The 22,510-nt window shown below is 49.0% G+C and overlaps 1 protein-coding gene across 26 annotated transcripts in view; it reads right to left on the bottom strand.

Annotated features, from left to right (window-relative positions):
* The window catches only part of NDRG4 (NDRG family member 4), a 51,673-nt gene that overhangs the window by 28,616 nt on the left and 547 nt on the right, over positions 1-22,510 (bottom strand). For 7 of the 26 annotated variants that reach the window (NM_001378332.1, NM_001378334.1, NM_001363869.2 and 4 more), the window contains exon 1: positions 22,305-22,490. The exons of 6 other annotated variants lie outside the window; for them this stretch is intronic. In NM_001378332.1, the coding sequence (NP_001365261.1) occupies positions 22,305-22,341 (37 nt within the window). In that variant the 5' untranslated portion in view covers positions 22,342-22,490. Of the gene's footprint in view, positions 1-11,114; positions 11,161-21,536; positions 21,663-21,700; positions 21,972-22,304; positions 22,491-22,510 lie in introns of those variants that run through there. 13 more of the 26 variants (XM_017023583.3, XM_011523290.4, NM_001378340.1 and 10 more) reach the window with 3 other exon arrangements.

The following is a 22,510-nucleotide window of genomic DNA, read 5'->3' as shown; positions in this document are numbered from 1 at the left end:
GAATGGGTCATACATGCAGGCGTGTGTGTGTGTGTGTGTGTGTGTGTGTGTGTGTGTGTGTGTGTGTGTGTAGGAGCCAGTGGTGAGGGAAGGAAGACAGAGGGTCCCAGGACCCCACAATTCCTCTAGGAATGGCACCACCATCCCTCAACTTCAGGATGGCAGAGGTCAGAATGCACCAAGAGAAAAACTAGCCAAGGACATAATCTAGAAATTCATAAAAGAATTTAAATTGGCCAGTACATACATGGAAAAATATTCAAGCTCACTAGAAGTCAAAGAAATTTAAATTAAGATACTTTTTTTTTTTTTGGCCAGGCACAGTGGCTCATGCCTATAATCCCAGCATTTTGAGAGGCTGAGGCCGGAGGAGTGCTTGAGCCCAGAGGTTCAGGACCAACCTGGACAACATAGCAAGGCCCCATCTCTACGAAAAAAATAAAGTAGCTGGGTGTGGTGGTGAGAGCCTGTGGTCCCAGCTACTCAGGAGGCTGAGGTGGGAGGATCACTTGAGACCAGGAGTTCAAGGCTACAGGGAGCTATGATTGCACCACTGCACTCCAGCCTGAGTGACAGAGCAAGACCGTGTCTCAAATGAATGAATGAATGGATAGCTCTTTCTTTTTTTGCCAATGGCATTGGCAAAGTTTACACCGCTAGCGAAGGTGCACTGAAACAGGCACCTTCTTATATGGCTTGTAAGTATATAAATGGACATATCTTTCTGGAGGGCAGTTTTACAAATGAATTAAAACTATTTAAAAGGTTCATACTCTCAGACTCAGCAATCCTCTCCCGTGGAGAAATTGCCTAAGGAAACCAGAGATGGCAACAAATAATTTATCTATAAGAATTCTTACCACAGTGCCATTTATAACACAGAAAAAAATTGGAAGAAAATGTCCATCAATAGGGTACAAGATAAACTGTGTGTCAATAATAAAATATTATTTAATATAATGGGAAAATTCCTGTTACAATAAATGAAAAAGCAGGCCTGGGTCCCTGTGCACGTGCCATGCTGGAGTCCCGGCTCCCAGTGGTTTCCGAGGAAACCAGCTAACACAATGCAGATGGGCTGTATTTTTAGAAAGGCATCCTCAAGGCTCTCCCGCTCCCATTTCCATCCTTTCAGATGTGTGCACACTCACCCATCCATCCAGGGTGTGGGGGCTGGGAGAGCTGAAAGAGGGGTCCCCTCCTTGGAAAACTCTTCCGCATCAGGACATTTTAGCCACCTGCCTTCCTGAACACCCATCTCAATTAAACCCCTTAGTAGCCCTGGGGTATCCCTGTAGCCCCCCTCCCCCGGCCTGTTATGAAACCACCCTGGACACCATCCTCCCCAAGGCCCATGCTATTAAAAGGGCTGAGAGTGGGCAGTGCAGGGACAGATGGCCTGTGACGGAGGTGGTGGCGGGGAAGGGGGCAGAGAGAGACCTCATCATCCAGAGAACCGGGAATGTCTCAGCCCATGAAAAACAGACAGTCCAGGGCTTGGCTGGAGTTGTGGGGCTCCACAAGAAAGACGCCAGAGCAGACATTTCCACAGCACGGTGGCAGAGAAGTTTCTTCTAAAGAAAGTTATGGGCCGGGCGTGGTGGCTCATGCCTGTAATCTCAGCACTTTGGGAGGCCAAGGCAGGTGGATCACGAGGTCAGGAGTTAAGAGACCAGTCTGGCTAACCTGGTGAAACCCCGTCTCTACTAAAAATACAAAAAAATTAGCTGGGCATGGTGGTGGGTGCCTGTAGTCCCAGCTACTCGGGAGGCTGAGGCAGGAGAATGGCGTGAACCTGGGAGGCAGAGCTTGCAGTGAGCCGAGATTGCGCCACTGTACTCCAGCCTGGGGACAAAGCGAGACTCCATCAAAAAAAAAAAAAAAAAAAGTAAGTTATGATTTTTTTTAAGAAGCTGTGTGATAAGTTATAAGAAAATGAGAGTCCTACTAATGAAGCCTGGCTAAGGTCTCCAAGGAGTTAAGTAGCACAGAGGTGGGCGAACGCCAGGGTCTATGAAGTGGCCAGCAATGGCTCTTTCCCTTCCATCATGCTTTTCCACTTCTTGATCTCTTATTCCCTAAAGGGACAGGAGCCGCCCTGCCCAGCTCCTGGTGCAGACAAGAGCTCTCCCAGGAGACGCGTGTGCAGGGACCTGGGCCTGGGCAGACAGAAGCTGTACACACCAAATGGGCCTGGGATAAATCCAAATGCTTCTACTTCTCAGGGGTAAGGCCTGGAGCCACTGCAACCAGGCTGGCATTTCTCCTCTATCATTCAACAGCTTGCTTTATTTTGAGCAAATCACTCAAAGCCTCACTTATTTGCAATATGAGAGCATGTTGCCCACCTCAGAGAAGTCTGAGGTACAATAGAAACAATAAATATATAAATTTTTTTTTAGACGGATTCTTACTCTGTCGCCCAGGCTGGAGTGCAGTGGCGCGATCTCAGCTCACTGCAGCCTCTGCCTCCTGGGTTCAAGTGATTCTCCTGCTTCATCCTCCCAAGTAGTTGGGATTACAGGCACCTGCCACCACGCCTGGCTAATTTTTTTTGTATTTTTAGTAGAAATGAGGTTTTACCATGTTGGTCAGGTTGGTCTTGAACTCTTGACCTCAGGTGATCCACCTGCCTTAGCCTCCCAAAGTGTAAAAATGACCTTTTTTGTTTGTTCAGAGACAGGGTCTTGGTCAAAACAAACCCTGGCTCTGCTCTAAGCAAACTCTAGGCTGGAGTGCAGTGGCACAATCATGGCTCACAGCAGCCTCGAACTCCTGGACTCAAGTGATCCTCCCACCTCAGCCTCCCAAGTAGCTGGGACCACAGGTGTGTGCCACCAGAGCCCGACTATTTTTTCTTTTCATTTTTTGTAGAGATGGGGTCTTACTATGTTGGCCAGGCTGGTCGCAAACTCCTGGGCTCAAGCAATCCTCCTACCTCAGCCTCCCAAAGCACTGGGATTACTGGCGTAAGCCACCATGCCCAGCCTAAAATGCCTTTTAAATGAAAGATTTTTGTACATATTTGAATGGAACAAAAATCACATAGGTGATCAGTGTGTTCCTTGCCTTTCCCTGCCGATTTAAGATAACTTTGGAGTTTTTTGTGTTTTTCCTCTTGTTTCTGTTAGAGGATAGATTCATAGCTGCACGCAGAGGGGCTAAGCTGATGTACATAGGGGAGGGATGGTACAGGGGATGAGGGAGAGGAAACAGCCCCTTTGGCTGGGGGACAGAGACATGTAAGAGGCCCCTCAAGGGCAAAAGAGCACCGGGGAGTGTGGAAATGGGCTCCTGCGCTGTGTTAGTGGCATGGATTCCTTAAGAGGAATTGCATTTCAGTTTAATTACTTCTGGTTGCTGATTTGTGTTTTTTCTCCTTTTCTCCTTCTTCTTTTTTTTTTAAAGGCAAACAGGAGCACTCAGCTCCCACCATGCAGCCAGCAGGCCCCTCCCACTATGCTTCTGTAACTGTGATTCCATGCTGAGACCCCGGCCAGGCGAACCCTCTGATTATTAGGGTTAAAAATAGAAGCCATGACTGTGATCATTCCTGGAACTATCCCATAAATGCTTAAATTGATCAGTAGTAGTTATACATCCTACAGAAAAAAGCAATTGCTGAATCGGGAGAACAAATTCAGCAGTGGTAGGAGATGGTGGGGGTGTTTGAAAATACACTGGGGGGCTGGGCACGGTGGCTCACACCTGTAATCCCAGCACTTTGGGAGGCCAAGGCAGGTGGATCACTTGAAGCCAGGAGTTCGAGACCAGCCTGGCCAACATGGCGAAACCCTGTCTCTACTAAAAATTCAAAAATTAGCTGAGCTCACGTGATGGCGGGTGCCTGTAATCCAACTACTTGGGAGGCTGAGGCAGGAGAATTACTTGAGCCCGGGAGGTGGAGGTTGCAGTGAGCTGCACTCCACTGGGTGACATAGCAAGACTCTGTCAAAAGAAAGAAAGAGAGAAAGAAAGAGAGAGAGAGAAGGAAGGAAAAAAGGAAGGAAGGAAAGAAGGAAGGGAGGGAGGAAGGAAGGGAGGGAGGGAGGGAGGAAGGAAAGGAGGGAGGGAGGAAGGAAGGGAGGGAGGAAGGAAGGGAGGGATGGAAAGAGAGAAAAGAGAGAAGGAAGGAAGGAAAAAGAGAAGAGAAGAGGAGAAAAAAAATGAAAATACATCGGAGAATTTGGGTGGTCTCAGTGACTGGGGGTCCTACATTCAGTGCCCAGGGACCACGGGTGAGAAGGGTCATGCGATGTGGGGACAGTGCTACACATGAAGGATCACTCCCCACTCTACCCCCCACAGCTGCACAGTGAGAAACGCTAGAACTGAAAGAGAAGAGGGCAAGACTTAAATGGAGTGAAGTTAGAGGGCTCAGGAGAAGCCAGACAGAGGAAACAGGCCTGCGGGACAGGAAGAGGCCAAACAAGAAAAGAGGTAGAACTGTGGAATGGCTGGTGTTCCTTCAACCACAGGGGTGAAGGGGACCCACAGGTCAGGGTCAAGGTCCGGTCCACACTGCCTTGAGTATGCCACACTCCTGAGTTATAAGGTCCCATTATTATGAGAAATGCCACAGGCAAATGAAATGAGCCATACCCAGGCCTAGCCAGCTCTACCCTGGGGGAGGGGTCCGTAACATGGAAAAGGAATGATGTGGCCGAGTGGGAGCATGTGACTCATGTCCAGGCCTCTGCACCCAGGCGCCGTGGGCCTGGTGTATCCCTACTGCTTGGATCAGAGTTGGTGCTCAGTGATACATGGGCCACCACCCTACCCGACGCTACACCAGTGCCTGGTTGGAAAAGAAGCCCCAGAAATCTGGGACCCCGGAAATTGGGGAATCACCTTCCAACTGCACTATATAGGGGGTCTGGAACTGTCCAGGGAACTGGACCCTCTTATTTCTCTCCCTGTCCTTATCCTGATCTCCTAGGCCTGGGACAGCACTGAGGGTGGGGCAGGGATGGGGGCTCAATCTTCCCTCAGGATTCCCAGTTCACGGATGAGAAATAAGAGGCACAGGAAGGAGCAACTGACTGGTGCAAGTCCTCCTGTGGCCAACCCAGGAGGGGACCCAGAGTGCATGCTTCCACCCGCCTACATGCATTCCGCCTCCCCGGGTGGGTGGCAGGACAGGAGGATGCAAGGGACATTATTTCTCCAGCCCAGGCTCCATATCTAGGTATGGCTCCTTGATTTATGTCAAACTTGAACTTGACCAGTTCTGCTTTTTCCTTGGGTTGAGCCTGTGAATCCCTATGCCCTCACCAACCACACCACCACCCTGCATGCGCGCGCACACACACACGCACGCACCCCCAGCACATTCCCACTGTCTTAGGCAGCCATATTTGGATTCTGGCACTCCTGGCTAAAGACCCGGGCTGACTCAGTAGGCGCATCCTCCCCATGGGAAGCACATGCCTTTCTTCATGCTGTTCCCTCTGCCTAGAGTGCCTTTCCCCATCATATCCCTACAATGGGAGCAATATGAAAAACAATCCTTAATATTAATGAATGCTATGTTCCAGGCATTTTACATGTATAAGCTCATTTAGTCCTCCTAACTCCTCATGGAGGTAGGTACTATTATTGTCCTCATTTTGTAGCTGAGGAAGTGAGGCATACACAGGTGACATAACCAGCCCAAGGTATTACGACTGGTAAGTGATGGAACCTGGATTTGAACCCATGATGTCCAGGTCTGGAGCTCATATGCTCATGTGTGGACTCTATCATCTTTTTTTTTTTTTTTTTAAGACAGAGTCTCACTCTGTCGCCCAGGCTGGAATGCAGTGGCACGATCTCAGCTCATTGCAACCTCCGCCTTCTGAGTTCAAGTAATTCTTGTGCCTCAGCCTCCCAACATAGCTGGGATTACAGGCTTCTGCCACCACGCCCAGCTAATTTTTGTACTTTTAGTAGTAATGGGGTTTCACCATGTTGGCCAGGCTGGGACTCTATCATCTTGCTAACCCACTGATGCATGGATGAGTGGTTTAATCTCCCTACTGTCATCTCCCAGAGGACAGCGACCTGATCTTGTTCATTTGTCCAACCCTATCAGAGTCCAAACACACAAAGGCTTAATAACTGGTAAAATGGATGGAGGACAGGCCAGAAATCTCCACGGCTGACCTGTCCACAGAAGCCATAGGAAAGCACAGGATAAACATTTTTGTTGCTCAAATGCCACTGTTCCAATGTCAGTTATAGGCATAAAGCAGTATTCAAATGCACACCACCAAGGTGGTGAGGCCACTCTGGTACAAGGCTGTTTGACAGGGCTGGCTGTCAAGAGGCTTCCAGGTCAGTGAGTTTGGCCACAAAACTTGGAGGGGGCAGGGCCGGGTGCGGTGGCTCACGCCTGTAATCCCAGCACTTTGGGAGGCCAAGGCAGGCAGATCACTTGAGGTCAGGAGTTTGAGACCAGCCTGGCCAACATGGTGAAACCCTGTTTCTACTAAAAATTCAAAAATTAGCCGGGCGTGGTGGCAGGCACCTGTAATCCCAGCTACTCAGAAGGCTGAGGCAAGAGAATTGCTTGAACCTGGAAGGCAGAGGTTGCAGTGAGCCTAGATCGTGCCACTGTACTCCAGCCTGGGTGACAGAGCAAGACTCCGTCTCAAAAACAAACAAACAAACAAAAAATCGGAGGGGCAGATGCAGCCTCTGCACATTCCCCACCTCCTACAGGTTGGTCTGGGCTCCCTCCTTCCTCTCAAATCCTACCTGTGTCTCCAGTCTCCCCACCAGGTTTGCCGAAATCCCCTAAAGGGGACAGACTTAGTAGCACTCCCATTCTAGGGCTCAATAAGGAGAAAGAAAATACTATGCACTCAATGGAAAAGTGGGCGAAGGTCTGGAATAGGAATTCAGAGAAGAAACAACACAGGAAAAGCATCTGCTCTGCCTCACTGGCCGTCAGAGAAATGCACGTGAAACAATGAGCAACATGACCTGCTCAGACCATTGCTCCTCAGACACTCCTAGGGGACAAGAACTACATCTGTTTTGTTCGCTCGGATGTTCCCTGTGTCTATGACAGTGCTGGGCACAGGGCAGACACTCAACATTTCTGTTCAATCATGTAAGTAAATGAACGAATGAATCATTCTTCACACAGACCACAACTTACTAAAAGACTGATAATGTGCAAGGTTGGTGAGGTTCTGGGAAAGTGGGCACACACTCATGCTGCTGGCTGGATGGCAGTGGGTTCAACTTTATTTGGAGAACAACTTGGTAGTCTGTTAAATGCAAATATCTGTCAGTTCTGCAATTCTGTGTCCAGGTATTTATCCTAAAGAAAAACACCCATGTGTGCACTAAGAGGCAGTACACAAGGGTGCTCACTGCACAGCCGAGTGGAGGAGTACAATCTGGAAACCACCTCAGTGAGCACCAGGAGGATGGTGAAATAAATTATGGAACATCTGCACCCTGGAGTACCATGCAGCCATTAAATAAACAAGGCAGCTCCACTCAAACAGAGTGGGAAAGCATTCTAAAATATGCAATTAAGAAAAAAAGGCATGTCACCAAATAATGTGTAAAAATAATTCCATTTATGGCTGGGCACAGTGGCTTACACCTGTAATCCCAGCACTTTGGGAGGCCGAGGCAGGAGAGTTGCTTGAACTTGGGAGGCGAAGATTGCAGTGAGCCGAGATCACGCCATTGCACTCCAGCCTGGGCAACACAGTGAGATTCTGTCTCAAAATAATAATAATAATCTCATTTATGTAAAAATTATATGCATTGAACAGGTACATATATTGGCAACTTCCAAAAAAAAATCCTCAAATGATTCAGGGTAAACTGTAACAATGCTTCTCTCTGAGGAAGGATATGGGTTTAGAAGGGTATAAAAGGGAGATTCTTTTTTTAATCCTATACACCAGATTTTATCAAATCTAAGATATCACTGATTACAAGTGACACTAATTTTTATGTATCAATAAGAAAAAAAAACCACTGCCAGTTAAATGAAGACATAATACTTTCCCCCCTTTTAACTTATTTTGAAAAATATTTAGGCTTACAAAAAAATTACAAAAAAAAAAAACAAAAAACAAAAAAGCACAGAAACACAGACATTTCCCACATACCCTTCACTCAGCTTCCCCCAATGTTATCATGCTACAGAACCATAATACAATTAGAGAAACCAGGAAATTAAACACTGATACATACTGTTAAGTAATATACAGAACGTACATATATTTTACCAGCTTTCCTAATAATGCCTTTTTTGGGTCTAGGACCCAACCCAGGATGCCACATCGTATTTAGTTGGTATGTCCTCCTTGGCCTTCTCCAAATGGGACAGTTTATCAGCCCATCTTTTATAACCTTGACACTTTTTTTTTTTTTTTAGATGGAGTCTCATATTGTCGCCCAGGCTGGAGTGCAATGGCGCGATCTCGGCTCACTGCAACCTCTGCCTCCCACGTTCAAGTGATTCTCCTGCCTCAGCCTCCCAAGTAGCTGGGATTACAGGTGCCCGCCACCATGCCTGGCTAAGTTTTGAATTTTTAGTAGAAACAGGGTTTCACCGTGTTGGCCAGGCTGGTCTCAAACCCCTGACCTCGTGATCCATCCACCTTGGCCTCTCAAAGTGCTGGGATTACAGGCGTGAGCCACCACACCCGGCCAACCTTGACACTTTTGAAGAGTACTGGCCAGTTAGTCAGTAGAATGTCCTCGCTTTGGGTTTGTCTGTTGTTTTCTCATGATTAGACTGAGGTTATACATTTTTGGCAAGAATACGACAGAAGGAGGTGCCCTTCTCAGTTTGTATCAGCAGGCACATGATGTCAATCTGTCTTATTACAGAGGACGTTAACCTTGATCCCTTGATAAGGAGCTCTCTGCCAGGTTTCTCCACTGAAATGTTACTATTTTTCCCTTTGTAAGCAGTGTGGGAAGATACTTTGACACTATGTAAACATCCTATGTCTCATCATACTTCCCCACCCCCTCCACCCCCCTTACCCCTGCTAATTTTAACAACTATTGATTCTTGCCTACAGCAATTATTACTTTGGTGGTTGCCTAATGATAATTTTCTTTTTTTTTTTCCTGCTGAGGAAAAGAAGATAATTTTCTATTTCCATAATCTCTTCTACACTTATTGGAATTATCCTGTAAGAAAGAGTTGTCCTTTTTCCTCCTTTATTCAATTACTTATTTATATCAATAAGGACTCATGGATATTTATTTTACCCTGTGGGTTAAAAGCCATTGCTATCATTATTTGTTTCATTGTTCAAACTGGGCCAGGCTTGGCCATTGGGAGTTCCCTTAAGGTGGCTCTTTTGTGCTTTCAACATGTACCCATTATTTTTTGAGTTTCAAATATTCTAGCCTCATTACATGTTCTAAACTCATCTTGTACTTTCTCTGCCTCAACCATGAAATCAACCATTTCTCCAAGGAGACCTAGTTCCCTTTATTGGAGAATGACGTTTAGAAATCAAGATCTGGACACCAGGTGTGCTCATTGCTACTGGGGTGTCATTGGTCTAGGCCCTCTTAGCAGGCAGAGCTATGAAATGTATGCAAGACACTAACACACACACATACATATATATATATATATCACATATATATATATCACACATATATATATCACATATATATCATATATATGGAATCTGGAATTTATACTGATCCCTTTAACTCTAATTCAACACCACAGAGTGCATTCTAGCTTCCCCCGTTTGATTGCAATTGTTTTTCTCCAGTGGTGAGAAACCTGGCTCTCATCCATAATATTTTTGCTTATTTGTTCATTCCTGGGATACATATAAAGTAGTGTCAGAACTGCTACCCTTATGATGAGTTCCTGTCATTCAGGGGTTTTTTTGTACTTACTGAAAGAACTCTTTTAGAATATATTAGATCCAGATTTTAAAAAAGCATCTATCACTTTTGTAAATTTTTAAAAAGGAAAATATAATTGAAATAAATTGTTTAAGGTATTCCTTTTCACATTTCGAGTCCAATGTCTCTTAATCTCTCTATCATGGAGTTTTTAATGCTGTGCTATTCCACACAGCCTGGGCTTCTCCAGCATCAAGGATGCTCTACTACTATCTCTGGGATTTCCTTCTGAGCTGCTGACATCCACTCGCAAATTCTGATGTTCATGTGATGGCAGTAACAGCATGAGGCCCCCCTTGCCAACAGAGACTGTATGATGCATCCCAATCTTAGAGATGTTAAAGTATGAAAAAAAAGGTGCATCTTAGAAAGGACATAACACAGCGCTTTCATAAAGTAAGAAGGTGATGTACAGCACCAACGTGTAAACTCTGCTTCTCTACACAACATGGCTCCAGGTGTTAAGCACGGACATTACAATAGACACAACAGGCCTCTAATTCTAAGACCAAGGGCAAGGCCAGATGGAACTAGAATTCCAATAACACATTCCATTTAGGCAGCTTCTATAGGGAACCAGTGAAAGAGTCCTACTGCAGCAGAGACTGCTAATTATCCCCCCATATCTGTTCTCCCCTTCTTCCTTAATAATAATCCCCATATTTTAGATGAGTAGGTGGATGATGGGAATAAAATTTGTTTATGATGACGTGATGTTCTGCCAGTGCGAGGTAAATGGAAGCATGTTACTTTCAGGCAGTGTTCTTAAAAGGGGAGACATGGCTGGGCGCAGTGGCTCATGCCTGTAATCCCAGCACTTGGGGAGGCCGAGGCAGGTGGATCACTTGAGGTCAGGAGTTCAAGACCAGCCTGGCCAACATGGCAAAACCCCATCTCTGTTAAAAATACAAAAATTACCCAGGTGTGGTGGCCAGCACCTGTAACCCCAGCTATTTGGGAGGCTGAGGCAGGAGAATCACTTGAACCTGGGAGGCAGAAGTTGCAGTGTGCCAAGATTGTGCCACTGCACTCCAGCCTGGGCAACAGAGTGAGACTCTGTCTGAAAAAAAAAAGGGGAGACATGCCATTCTTTGACTCTTCCTCCTGCCTCCTGGCTGGAATACAGATGTGATGGCAGGAGCTTGAACAGCCATTTTAGGCTCAAAGGCAGGATTCTAAAGGTGGCATAGTAGTGATATAGAAATAAAGAGTCAAGGTACCTGAGAATCATGAAGCCATGATTTGGGAATCCTCTATTTTGAGATCCTGGTTATGAGAGAGAAAAAAATACTTTTATCTTACTTATTATTACCATGGGTTTTCTGTTACACACAGCTGAAGCTAATCTAAACTTGGGATATTTTTCTTGGAGACCCACCCTATCGTGCTAAAGGAAATCAAGGAAAAAGGAAAGGGTGGGGCTTTCCCAGAGAAAAACAGGGAAATGCTAGAGCAAACCTGCAACTTCCTCTCTCCAGCAGGCAGCATAATCCATGATGCCATTCTCTTCTGGCAGTTTAAACCAGTGAGCCAGCCCCTCCTAACCCACACCTCACAAGCTCACAATAATTATACTGACATGGGTAACCATGACCTACATTAAAAGGTTAAAAGCAACTGGCACTTTTTGTCACGAATTCTCGCATTTCTTTTACACGGGTGCCTCACTCAATTCAGCTGTGTATCTTTGCCCAAGCTGGCAAATTTCCCAGATACACATATCCTGGATCTTTGTGCAAGATTCAAACAGGTAAACTGAGTCAATGAAACTTCTCTGGCACAGGAGTCTGCAATACAGTCTCCAGTAAAGAGAGAGCCCGAGGGGCATCTTTCTTACTGGGCATTTTTGTCACGGAAAGCCCCTTACTTCTCTGAAATGCCTAATTTATTAGCATTTGAGGAATGACATTCATCTGGCAGAGAGGGACTCTGTTCCAAGCAACTCCCAGAGCTTTCCTGCCTCAAATGCAATGTCTGCAGAAGGGGCTACCTGCATTGGTCCCCACCTGACACCAAGGTCCTTTCTCCTAACAGCACTGGGTTTCCTTTTGGGAAACCTCCCTTCCCCATTCTCAGTACATGTGGTTTGGGCCCGAATGTCCATACCCCAGGAGTGGCCCAGGCCTAAGTCATTTATTCATTCACCAGATACTGATTTGGCACCTACTGTGTTCTAGGACTGGAGATAAAATACTGACCATTACAGACAAACATATCTACCTTCGGGAGCTTTCTGGGTGCTGGAGGGGAGGCAAAAAATCAACAAACCTAAGTAAATTCACAGAGTGTCAGACGACCTAAGCAATGCAGGAAGCAGCTTCACAGGAGGGGAGAGAGAGGGATGTGAAACAGGGTGGTAAGAGTGAGAAGCCACCTGCTGAGAAGGGGAGGCAAGCAAGACTTGAAGGAGATCCAGGAGCGAGCGTTGGGATGTCCGGGAAGGGCACTCAGGGCAGGGGGAACAGCAAGCGCAAAGGCCAGGAGGCAGGCGCCTGCATGTTTGAGCAAACGAAAGGAAGCCGGTCAGGCAAGCAAATGAAAGGAAGCCAGCTCACGCCTGTAATCCCAGCACTTTGGGAGGCTAAGGCAGGTGCACGGCTTGAGGCCAGGAGTTCGAGACCAGCCTGGCCAACATGGTGAAACCCCGTCTCTACTAAAAATACAAAAGTTAGCCGGGTGTGTGGTGTGTGGTGCACACCTGTAATCCCAGCTACTTGGGAGGCTGAGGCAGGAGAATCACTTGAACCTGGGAGGCAGAGGTTGCAGTGAGCTGAGATTACGCCACTGGACTCCAGCCTGGGTAACAGAGAGAGATTCTCTCTCAAAAAAAAAAAAAAAAAAAAAAAAAAGGGAAAGAAAAGAAAAGTGAAAAAACCAGGGTGGCTGGAGCAGAGTGAGCCAGGAGGGGAGGAGATGAGGACAGGGGTGGTAAGCGTTGGAGTGCTGGTCCCGTTCAGCCCTGAAGGTTGTTAGGGAAACTGGCTTTTACTCTGAGTATAAACATGCACTGGAGGGTTTTGAGCAGGGGGCTGATGTGATACAGTTTTCATCATGAAGGATCCCTCCTTCTGCAATGTGCAGAACAGAGCTGGGGGTTAGGGTGGAAATGGGGAGACCAGTTATTGAGGTGCTGCTGGCTTGCCACACAGCGGGAGTGCAGGAGGTGGCTGAAGTCCTCAGCTTCTGGGTATGTTCTGAAGGTAAAGCTAGGGGGACTCACGGATCCATCAGACATGGGCAGGAGAGGAAGAGAGAAGTTAGGGTGACTTGGTGGAGCTATGGAAGGATAGAGCTATCATTTATGATTTAGGGAAGACCTTGAGAAAAGGTTTGGGGGAAAGATGAGGGGTGTGGTTTTAGACCTGAGCCAGGTGGAGCTCCCCGTGGGCAGGTGGATGTAAGAGTTTGTGCTTCAGGTTAGCACGGTGGCTCAGGCCTGTAATCCCAGCACTTTGGGAGGCCAAGGTGGGAGGATTACTTGAGCCCAGGAGTTTAAGACCAGCCTGGGCAACATAGTGAGACCCTGTCTCCACAAAAATTTAAAAGTCAGCTGGGTGTGGTGATATATGCCTGTGTTCTCAGCTACTTAGGGGCGGGGGCTGAGGCGTGAGGATCGCTTGAGCCCAGGAGGTCAAGGCTGCAGTGAGCTGTGATCAGGCAACTGTACTCCAGCCTGGGCAACAAAGTAAGACCCTGTCTTTCTAAAGAAAGAAATGAAGGGAAGAGAAAGGGAGGAAGGAGGAGAAGGAACAGAGGGAAGGATAATACATAATACAGTTTTTAGAAAACAATTTGTACTTCAGAACCTTGGGAGGAGTCACTTCAAAGATATCATCATAGAGAGACTAGATGAGGTCATCTAGGGAGTGAATGAGGACAGGGAAGAAGATGTCCCAGCACTGAGCCCCAGAAGAAGACAATGAGGATAAAGCAGCAAAGCCAATGAGAAGCCACTGAGGCAGGAGACAGAGGGGTTGGGTGGCCTGGAAACCAAGTGGACCGAGCCCTGGGCCCGGTCTCGAAGGCCTTTACTGGAATCCTTGGAGAGGGGAAGCTCTTCCCCAGCAATGGGGTTTTCAGGAGGACGGTCTGTGAGCCAGCAACCACACTGCCCTTGCGAGGAAGGGCCTGACTTAGAGCTCAACCAATCCAGAGAACCAAACTAGTAGGAATGAGGGAGAGAGAGACAGAGGCCGATGGCCCTGTGTCCACTGTGCTGGCCAGGGACACCCCATCTTCCTCTCTTTGTATCAGTCTGAGTTCGGTTTCTGTCACTTGCACCCAAGAGACCTAACGTAACTTCTAAGTTATTCTCTCCTGCATGGTCCCAGGGGGTCGGGTGAAGCCAGCATCCCGCCTCTCCCTTTGGCAATCACACACAGGCAGCCGGGCCCCAGTGCGGGGTCAGAGGGCCCTACGTGCTTGACAGCAGGCCTTTCCCACCACACTCGAATGGCAACACCATGCTCTACTCCAGGGTAATTCGGCCTTTCCCAACCCAGGCACTTTCAGAGATGGACCCTAAGCTGTGATGGGGAAAAGCACCCCCAGGCCACCCTGGTCATCCTCCTGGGTGCTCACCTTAGGTTGTGGGTTGCAAGGGACCTCTGGGTCATCTCTGACAACTGCTCCTCTGCTCCGTCCACATAGGCCAAGCACAGAGTGAATACTCTGCAGCTGGTAAGGGCTTTGGGAGCAGTAGGCTGAGTGCACTTCCTTTATGGATGAGGCAAAGGCTGGTGCGGGAGCTCTTCCAAAAACTTAAAGGGGAGCCTGCTGGCTTCCCTCTCCCTATCCCAGAGCCCAGGCCCCAACAGCACATTTATCCTCCAGAACACCAAGTGGCCAATATTGTTAAAAGCCATTTCTGGCACCCCTAGAGCTGTCAGGAAACAATTTGGGGTGCACAGGGTATGATCCTAGGGACTGCAAACCCTGGACTTGGTTATGGGACTCTTCCACTCCCTGCTCTCTCTCACACACACACACTCACACACTCTGGGGAGAAGACATCCCAGAAATATTCCCTCTGTCCCCTCCAAAGAGGCTGGGGTCCCACCTTCCCCAGCTCACTGCCTAGGGTGGGACCTATCAGCAGGCACACAGCACCTGCCCGACCACCCCCGCCAACAGGTGAACTGAAGCAGCATCTAGGTCCCCAGGGTTATTTGTTATGGGGCTTAAGACACCTGATCACTCTGGCTGGCGATACATTCCACCTGTGGTTTGGAAGCTAAAGCACTGAGGATTAAGAGGCAGGGAGGGGGTGGTGTATGATGACAGCTTTCCTGGCTCTGTGAGACCAGGTTTATGCTAGGCTGGGTGGAAGTGCTCATCCCACTTAGGTTTGTGTGATGCTCTTCAGTTTATATAACAGTGTCATGGTGCTCTCCCAGCTGATCCCGCAACTACCCTGGGGGCAAAGCCAGGCTCAGTTCAAGGTCACACAGCCAGAGTGATCAGAACGAGGCTGGCAGACTCCAACCCACCGTGCTGTTCTCAGTGCAGGCCGAGGCCTGAGTGTGATCTGCACACACCCCTGCTGGTTTCCTGTGGCTGCTATAATAAATCACCACAAAATTGGTGGCTTAAAGCAGCACACATTCACGCCGAGGTCATGCCACACTGCCCTCCAGCCTGGACAACAGAGTACGACCCTGTCTCCAAAAAAAAAAAAAAAAAAAAAAAAAAGCAACACACATTCATTCTCTTATAGTTCTGGAGGTCAGATGTTCAAAATCAATTTCTCTGGGCTGAAATTAACATGTTGGTAAGCTGTCTCCCTCTGGGGGTTCTGGGAAGAATCTGTTCCCCTGCCTTTTCCAGCTTCCAGAGCTGCATTCCTTGGCTGGTAGCCCCTTCCTCCACCTTCCAAGTCCAACAACAGAGCTTCTTGCTGAAGCAATCATATCACCTGTTCTTCTGTTTTTGAATATCCCCTGCTTCCCTCTTTTTTTTTTTTTTTTTTTTGGAGATGGTGTCTTGCTCTGTTGCTCAGGCTAGAATGCAGTGGCACAATCTCAGCTCACTGCAACCTCTGCCTCCCAGGTTCAAGCGATCCTCCTGCCTCAGCCCCCTTCATAGCTGGGATTACAGGCACGCACCAACATGCCTGGCTAATTTTTGTATTTTTAGCAGAGATGGGGTTTTGCCATGTTGGCCAGGCCAGTCTTGAACTCCTGACCTCAGGTGATCCACCTGCATCAGCCTCCCAAAGTGCTGGGATTACAGGTGTGAGCCACCGCACCCAGCCCTGCTTCCCTCTTATAAAAACACATGTGGTTGCACTTACAGCCCACTGGATAATTCTGCAAAACAGCTCCAACTCAAGATCCCCAATCATGACTACAAAATCTCTTTTGCCACATCAGGTAACATTTACAGGTTCTAGTGATTAGGATATCTTTGGGGGCTATTATTCAGCCCAACACAGCCTCCTTCCAAGGTTCCCATGGCTCCACCTTTGCCTCTATTTTTCACTTTGCTGGTTCCTCCTCCTTAGACTTCAAGGAAAGCCAACTTCACATCCACCTTGAACCACTCCTCCTCCTGGCCTTTTCCTCTCTGTCCACTGGACTCCAGCTCATCTTCAGAATTCCCACAGGATTGGTTTTTGTCAGCATCTAGTGCTTTGCATTAATTTTTAGTTTTTTTAAAAAATTAGCCTTCAGAAGAGAATTTTTTTGTTTTTAAAAACAGAATTTGAATTTCTTATAAGACACATTCACTGAGAAAAGTGAGAAAAACAGAAGACCAAAAAGAAGAAAGTAAAAACCACATGCAATCCTGTTAACAGAAGAAGCCACTGTTAATGTGTTGTGTATACCCTTTTATTCATTTTCCAATGCTCATCTAGACACTGAAAGAAAATGTTTCTAACACAAACCAACAAAAAATATGTTTTGAAACATCTGTTGGACTCTGGAGTCAAGACATTCTGGTTTAAATTCCAGCCAGCCACTCACCATCTGTGTGCTCTTTGGCAAGTTACTTAACCTATCTGTGCCTCAGTTTACCTATTTGTAAAAAAGAAGAAATGATAGCACATACCTCCTAGGGCTGTTATGATGATGAGTTAACATATAGCATGTGGTTAAGACTATGTCTGGCGCACAGCAAATGCCATATACGTGTGAGCTGTCATCACCATTAGTATTACACTATTTAAGGGGATATCTGTTCAGATGGATAAATAACCTTTGGCAGTATAATTCGTAGCTACCTGGGGTTCTCTGGTATGAATGCACTGCTGCTCTACTGTTACGCATTTAGGTTGTTTCCAGTTTTTTGGGTTTTTTTTGCTTTTTTGCTTCTATAAACAATGAAGGGATAACTATCCTTGAACAAACACCTTTGCACACATCTTTATTTGTTCCTAAAAATTCAACTGCTGAGTCAGAGATCACACATATTTTTAAGCTATTGATACATCATTGCCAACTTGCCCTTTATAATCCTCTACCCAGAGGAACAGCACGCCCCTCTCCCCACACCCACCCTCCCTGAGCACACCCAATGACCCTCATGTCTCTCCTCTCCTCCAAGGGACCACGCTTCCTTACTAAACCATGTACGTGCCCCCACATCAACATCACAGCACCCCAGTGAAGCGGAGAAGCAGATGAACTGGAAATGAGGATCCAGGGTCCTGCTTTCAGCCTCCTAGGGCAAACCTATGCCTCAGTTTCCTCCGTATGTAAAATGTGGGTCAACACATCTGCCAACAAACACTAAAATCATCTATAAAATTGACTGGGGCTAGATATTCCATGTATTCAAATGAAACCAAAATTCTAAACAACTGGTAAAACTTTTGTTTCTCAATCACACATCAAGTATATTTTTAAAAATTTCCAAGATCCACTACTGAGGCTCCCCAGGGACCATTTCAGAGCCCAAATCTGCCATTTTAGAGCTCTGACTCTGAACCGTTTTGGAACATATTGCTCGAGTGCCAATGCGCAGAAACAACTGCCTTCCTACTTGCAAAAAGACCAGTGTCCCACTTTCACATATCACACTAAAAAATAAAAAAATCATCCGGCTACCGAAGGCACCAGGAATCTGCCCTCTGAGAATTGTAATGAGCTCGTGTGCAGGTGTGACGGTGTCTTGGGCTCCCTCACAAGTATCATCTTGGCTCCCCACAATATATATATTTTTGAGACTCGCTCTGTTGCCCAGGCTGGAGGGCAGTGGTGCAATCTCAGCTCACTGCAACCTCCTAATCTCAGGTTCAAGCAATTCTCCTGCCTCAGCCTCCCCAGTAGCTGGGACTACAGGCACACACCACCAAGCCCGGTTCATTTTTGTATTTTTGGTAGAGACGGGGTTTCGCCATGTTGACCAGGCTGGTCTAGAACTCCTGACCTCAGGTGATCCACCCATCTGGGCCTCCCAAAGTACTGGGATTACAGGCGTGAGACAACTGCTCTGGCCTAACACTGTTAATGAGGGCTATTATTCCCATTTTACTGATAAGACTGAGGCCGAAAGAAGGTAACAATTTGCCCAGGAGCTGAGAAGCACAGGGGAGACCCCGAAATTCACATCCTCTGATTCCAAAACCCCCGCCTTCCTTGTCCCTGTTGCAGCAAGACCCCGCTGAGGCGCCTGGAAATGGCCTCGACAAGCATTCATGATTTACAAAGCCTCCAGAAGGACCCCAACAGCCTCCTCTTCTCTCCAGAACAAAAAGACATGCTGGATCTGGGCATGACAACCCATGGGTCTCCTTCTAGTCCCACATGTGAGGGGGCACCTGGCCTTCCCCATGATGTCAGAGCTGTGGGTGTCTGGCTGGAAGGGCCCCACCCCCTGAGGCCATGCCTGACTCACAGGAACCTGAGACCTAAGTAGGGTCCCCCAGAGACACAGCTCAGAGAGGCCTGGACTGTTGTGAGAACCCAACGAAGGAACTGGAACACCCTGCGGGGAGGGAATCTGGAAACTGGAGCACAGTGGGAGGAGAAGGAGCCCCCAGCACAGTGATGGAGTGCACTCGGGAGGCGGCCTGAGGACGCCAGCTCCACGACTGTCATCAACTATCCGCCCGCCAGAAGCTGCACTCGACGTCTTGCACACGCTCACACACCTAATCTCCAAAGATCCCAGCCAGGTAGGCACCACGACGATCCCATTTTACAGATGAGGAAAATGAAGTGTGGAACGGCTATTAGACTGTCCCAAAGCCAGGCAGTTAGAATGCCATATGGGACAACTCCCGGCTCAGGGCTGGGTTCTGAATCCAGTGCTGCCTCTTCTGAGAAATAGGAACATGAGGAAGTCACTGACTTCACTGGCAAGACAGGCAAGATAATAAAATAGGAGAATGTGAAAAGTATACAGAACTAAATCAATTTTTTTTTTTTGAGACAGAGTCTTGCTCTGTTGCGTAGGCTGGACTGCAGTGGTGCAATCTTGGCCCACTGCAACCTCCCTCTCCCAGGTCCAAGTGATTCTCCTGCCTTAGCCTCCCAAGTAGCTGGGACTACAGGCGTGCGCCACCACACCCAGCTGATTTTGTATTTTTAGTAGAGATGGGGGTTTCACCACGTTGGCCAGGCTGGTCTTGAACTCCTGACCTCAGTGATCTGCCTGCCTTGGCCTCCCAAAGTGCTGGAATTACAGGTGTGAGCCACTGTGCCCAGCCTTCAATATGAGTTTTTAAAATTCAGTAAAAATTTCCTAAGGCTGATGTCGGGGCAGGGAGTTAGAGGCCTCTACAGAATTATCCTAGAGACGTAGATGCCGAGTGGGCTGTGTGAGCCTAGCCTCAGTCAGCAACCCTTGAGCATTTGCTGTGTGCCACCACAATAAAGTGGCCACCTCCCGGACTGTGACCTGCTTGTTATCCAATGGGGGAGATGGGTCAAATCTCACAGACGCAGGAAAGCAGGGATAAAGGAGGGTGGGGGCAGATCCAAATGCTCTAGGTGCCAACCAGCCAGGACAGGTGGGGCCCAAGAGGTGCCCACCAGGGTCTAGGTCCCAACCACGTGTGTCGCCTACACTATCTCAGCAAGCCTTACACCATCTCTTAGAGACAGGGGCCAACAGTTCCATCTTTAAGATGAGAGGGCTGAAGTCTGAGAGGTTAAGCAACCTGTCTGAAGTCACACAGCTGGCTACTGATGGGGTTGGAGTTAGAATCCCGATCTGTGAGAAAAGGAAGAGGACAGAGAGGGAAGTCTGTGAAGACCACAAAATAGCAACAGAGGGGATGGGTTGTCTCCCAGGGCCAGGTTGCAGGTACAATGGGGGCGGAGCCTGTGACTGATGACAGTAACTGAGAGGGGCCTCATCCACCCTGGCCAGGGACTTAGAAAGCCCGCCAGAATCTGGTGACCCCATCTGGTGGGGGAAGAGGGGTCCTGACTCCTCTATCCAGGAGATGAGAGAACAGTGCATGGGGTCTCCAAAGCCTAGACCCCTGCTTGAGCCCCCCACACATGTCTCCTGTGAGCATTTCTCATCCAGGCCCTTTGGGGGCAGGAAGAGTTGGGGAAGAGAGGAACCAGGAGATCTGTTCACCATGCAGAGCTCTAAAAACCCATGGTGGGGGCTGGGTGCGGTGGCTCACGCCTGTAATCCCAGCACTTTAGGAGGCAGGGGCAGGTGGATCACTTGAGGTCAGAAGTTCGAGACCAGCCTGGCCAACATGGCGAAACCCATCTCTACTAAGAATACAAAAATTAGGCATGCATGGTGGCGCGTGCCTGTAATCCCAGCTACTTGAGAAGCTGAGGCACGAGAATCCCTTGATCCTGGGAGACGGACGCTGCAGGGAGCCGAGACTGTGCCACTGCACTCCAGCCTGGGCGACAGAGTGGGACTCCATCTCAAAACAAAACAAACAAACAAAACACCCATGGAACCGCAAGCCTTCCCTCCAGGGGGTTAACAAGTTCAGTGGCCTGCGCGGTTCCCTTCCAAGTTGGGTGAGCTGGGCCTGCCTCAAGTGAGCTCCACAAAGAAAAAGTTGGCAAGGGATTGGAGGGGGTGCCAGCCCCGTGGCTAACTGGGCTCAGCGCTGGAACTTCTGAGCACCCAGTCAGTTTCCAGTGTCCCAGGAACAGCTTCCACCTTTCCTTCTCTACAAGTCTGTCACGAGCTATTGCTGATTTATTTATTTATTTTTTTGTAAAGATGGGGTCTCGCTATGTTACCCAGGCTGGTCTTGAACTCCTGGCCTTAAGCGATCCTCTGGCCTCAGCCTCACAAAGTGCTGGGATTACAGGCATGAGCCACTGCGCCTGGCCTGCTACTGCCGATTTAATAAAACCTCACCCAACGTACCCCACCCCCACCTTCTAGCCCCCTCCCCCGCAACACACACGCACATTCCAGGCCATTCAGCCTCCATACCTCTCCCCGAACAAGCCTCTCTCACACCCCAGAGCATGGGCCATTCCCTTGATCCTGAACCCATAATGCCACCTCCTTCTTCATTAACAAAAATTGTTTTTCGAGGTCTTCAAAAGCTGCCCCCGACTCGGATTCCACCGTTTCCTGAGCGCACCCACAGACGGCTGCCCCTTCCAGCCTTGTAACAGGGCTCCGGGGCTCTGCTCCCTCATCGGACATTAAGGTCCTGGAAGGCAGTGATCAGCCCCCTCCCCCAGGTGTCGGAGGACACTTACTGGAATCTGTGCTCATCTGACATACACGGATGGAGCACCTATAAGTCCCAGAGCTGGAGGAAACCGGGTTGCTTTCCTTTCCTCCTGTCTGGGTCTCTCCACACCGGGGAGAACACAGAAGTCACTCCTCGAATCCTCCCCCCCGTCCCTGCTCCCTTTCCCACCTCCTCTTCCTGACCGTTCGCTCTTGCTCTCCAGCCACTGCCCCCTGGATGTGAGTTTCCAGCAGGGCAACTGATCACTTCTCCAGAGGAGCCCCAAGGCTGAGGGTCCCCAGTCAGTAGGGTCCAATCTGGCTTCCCACTTCCCAGGCCACTTGGCGTCGCCTCCACTCCCAGCAAGAAACTTCTCCCCCAGAGAAAGACGGCTCAGATTGTCACAGGGCGCAGAAATAAGAGGTCCATGGCGCGGGTCCTGCCAGAAGCCCACGGGTCCTTTCTTAGGGGACAAGCGACACTGATTGGAGGGCAGGAGCCCTGAGCTAGCTTTCAGGGTCCTAATCCGAGCTCCGCTGGTCAGAGACCCCATGGGGCCACCCCCTGACCGGTGCTCCCGCAGCCCGGACGCCAGCGCCAGGGACTCGCCACAACCTCAAGTCCTCTCCCGGGGCTGGGCTCCGCACACAAACAGGTAGCACAAAACTAGGACTTAGTTGGGGTCCGCACCCCTTCCTGCTCAGACCCGAGCCGCCCCAGTCCCCGGCCGCCGCGCCCGGAGTCCGCTCCAACTCGGAAAGTGGCGGCCGGCTGCGGGGCAGGCGGGCGGTACCTGTGAGCAGCTCCAGCCGGTGTCCCAGCACCTTCATCTCGGCGCCCGGCGCGGCCCGGCTCTGGGTGGCGGCGTCGGGGCAGCGCGCTCGGCCGAGCCGGGGAGAGGAGCGCGGGAGACCCGGAGCGGAGCGGCAGGAGAGCGCGGAGCGAAGCGGCAGGAGCAGCTCACAGCCAGGAGCGCTCTCCCGCCCCCAACGCCGCGCT

The sequence above is a fragment of the Homo sapiens genome, chromosome 16, assembly GCF_000001405.40.
Source record: "Homo sapiens chromosome 16, GRCh38.p14 Primary Assembly".
In the NCBI taxonomy this organism is placed as follows: domain Eukaryota; kingdom Metazoa; phylum Chordata; class Mammalia; order Primates; family Hominidae; genus Homo; species Homo sapiens.
The sequence above is the reverse complement of the archived record's forward strand: the minus strand, read 5'-3'. Positions and strand labels throughout refer to the sequence as shown.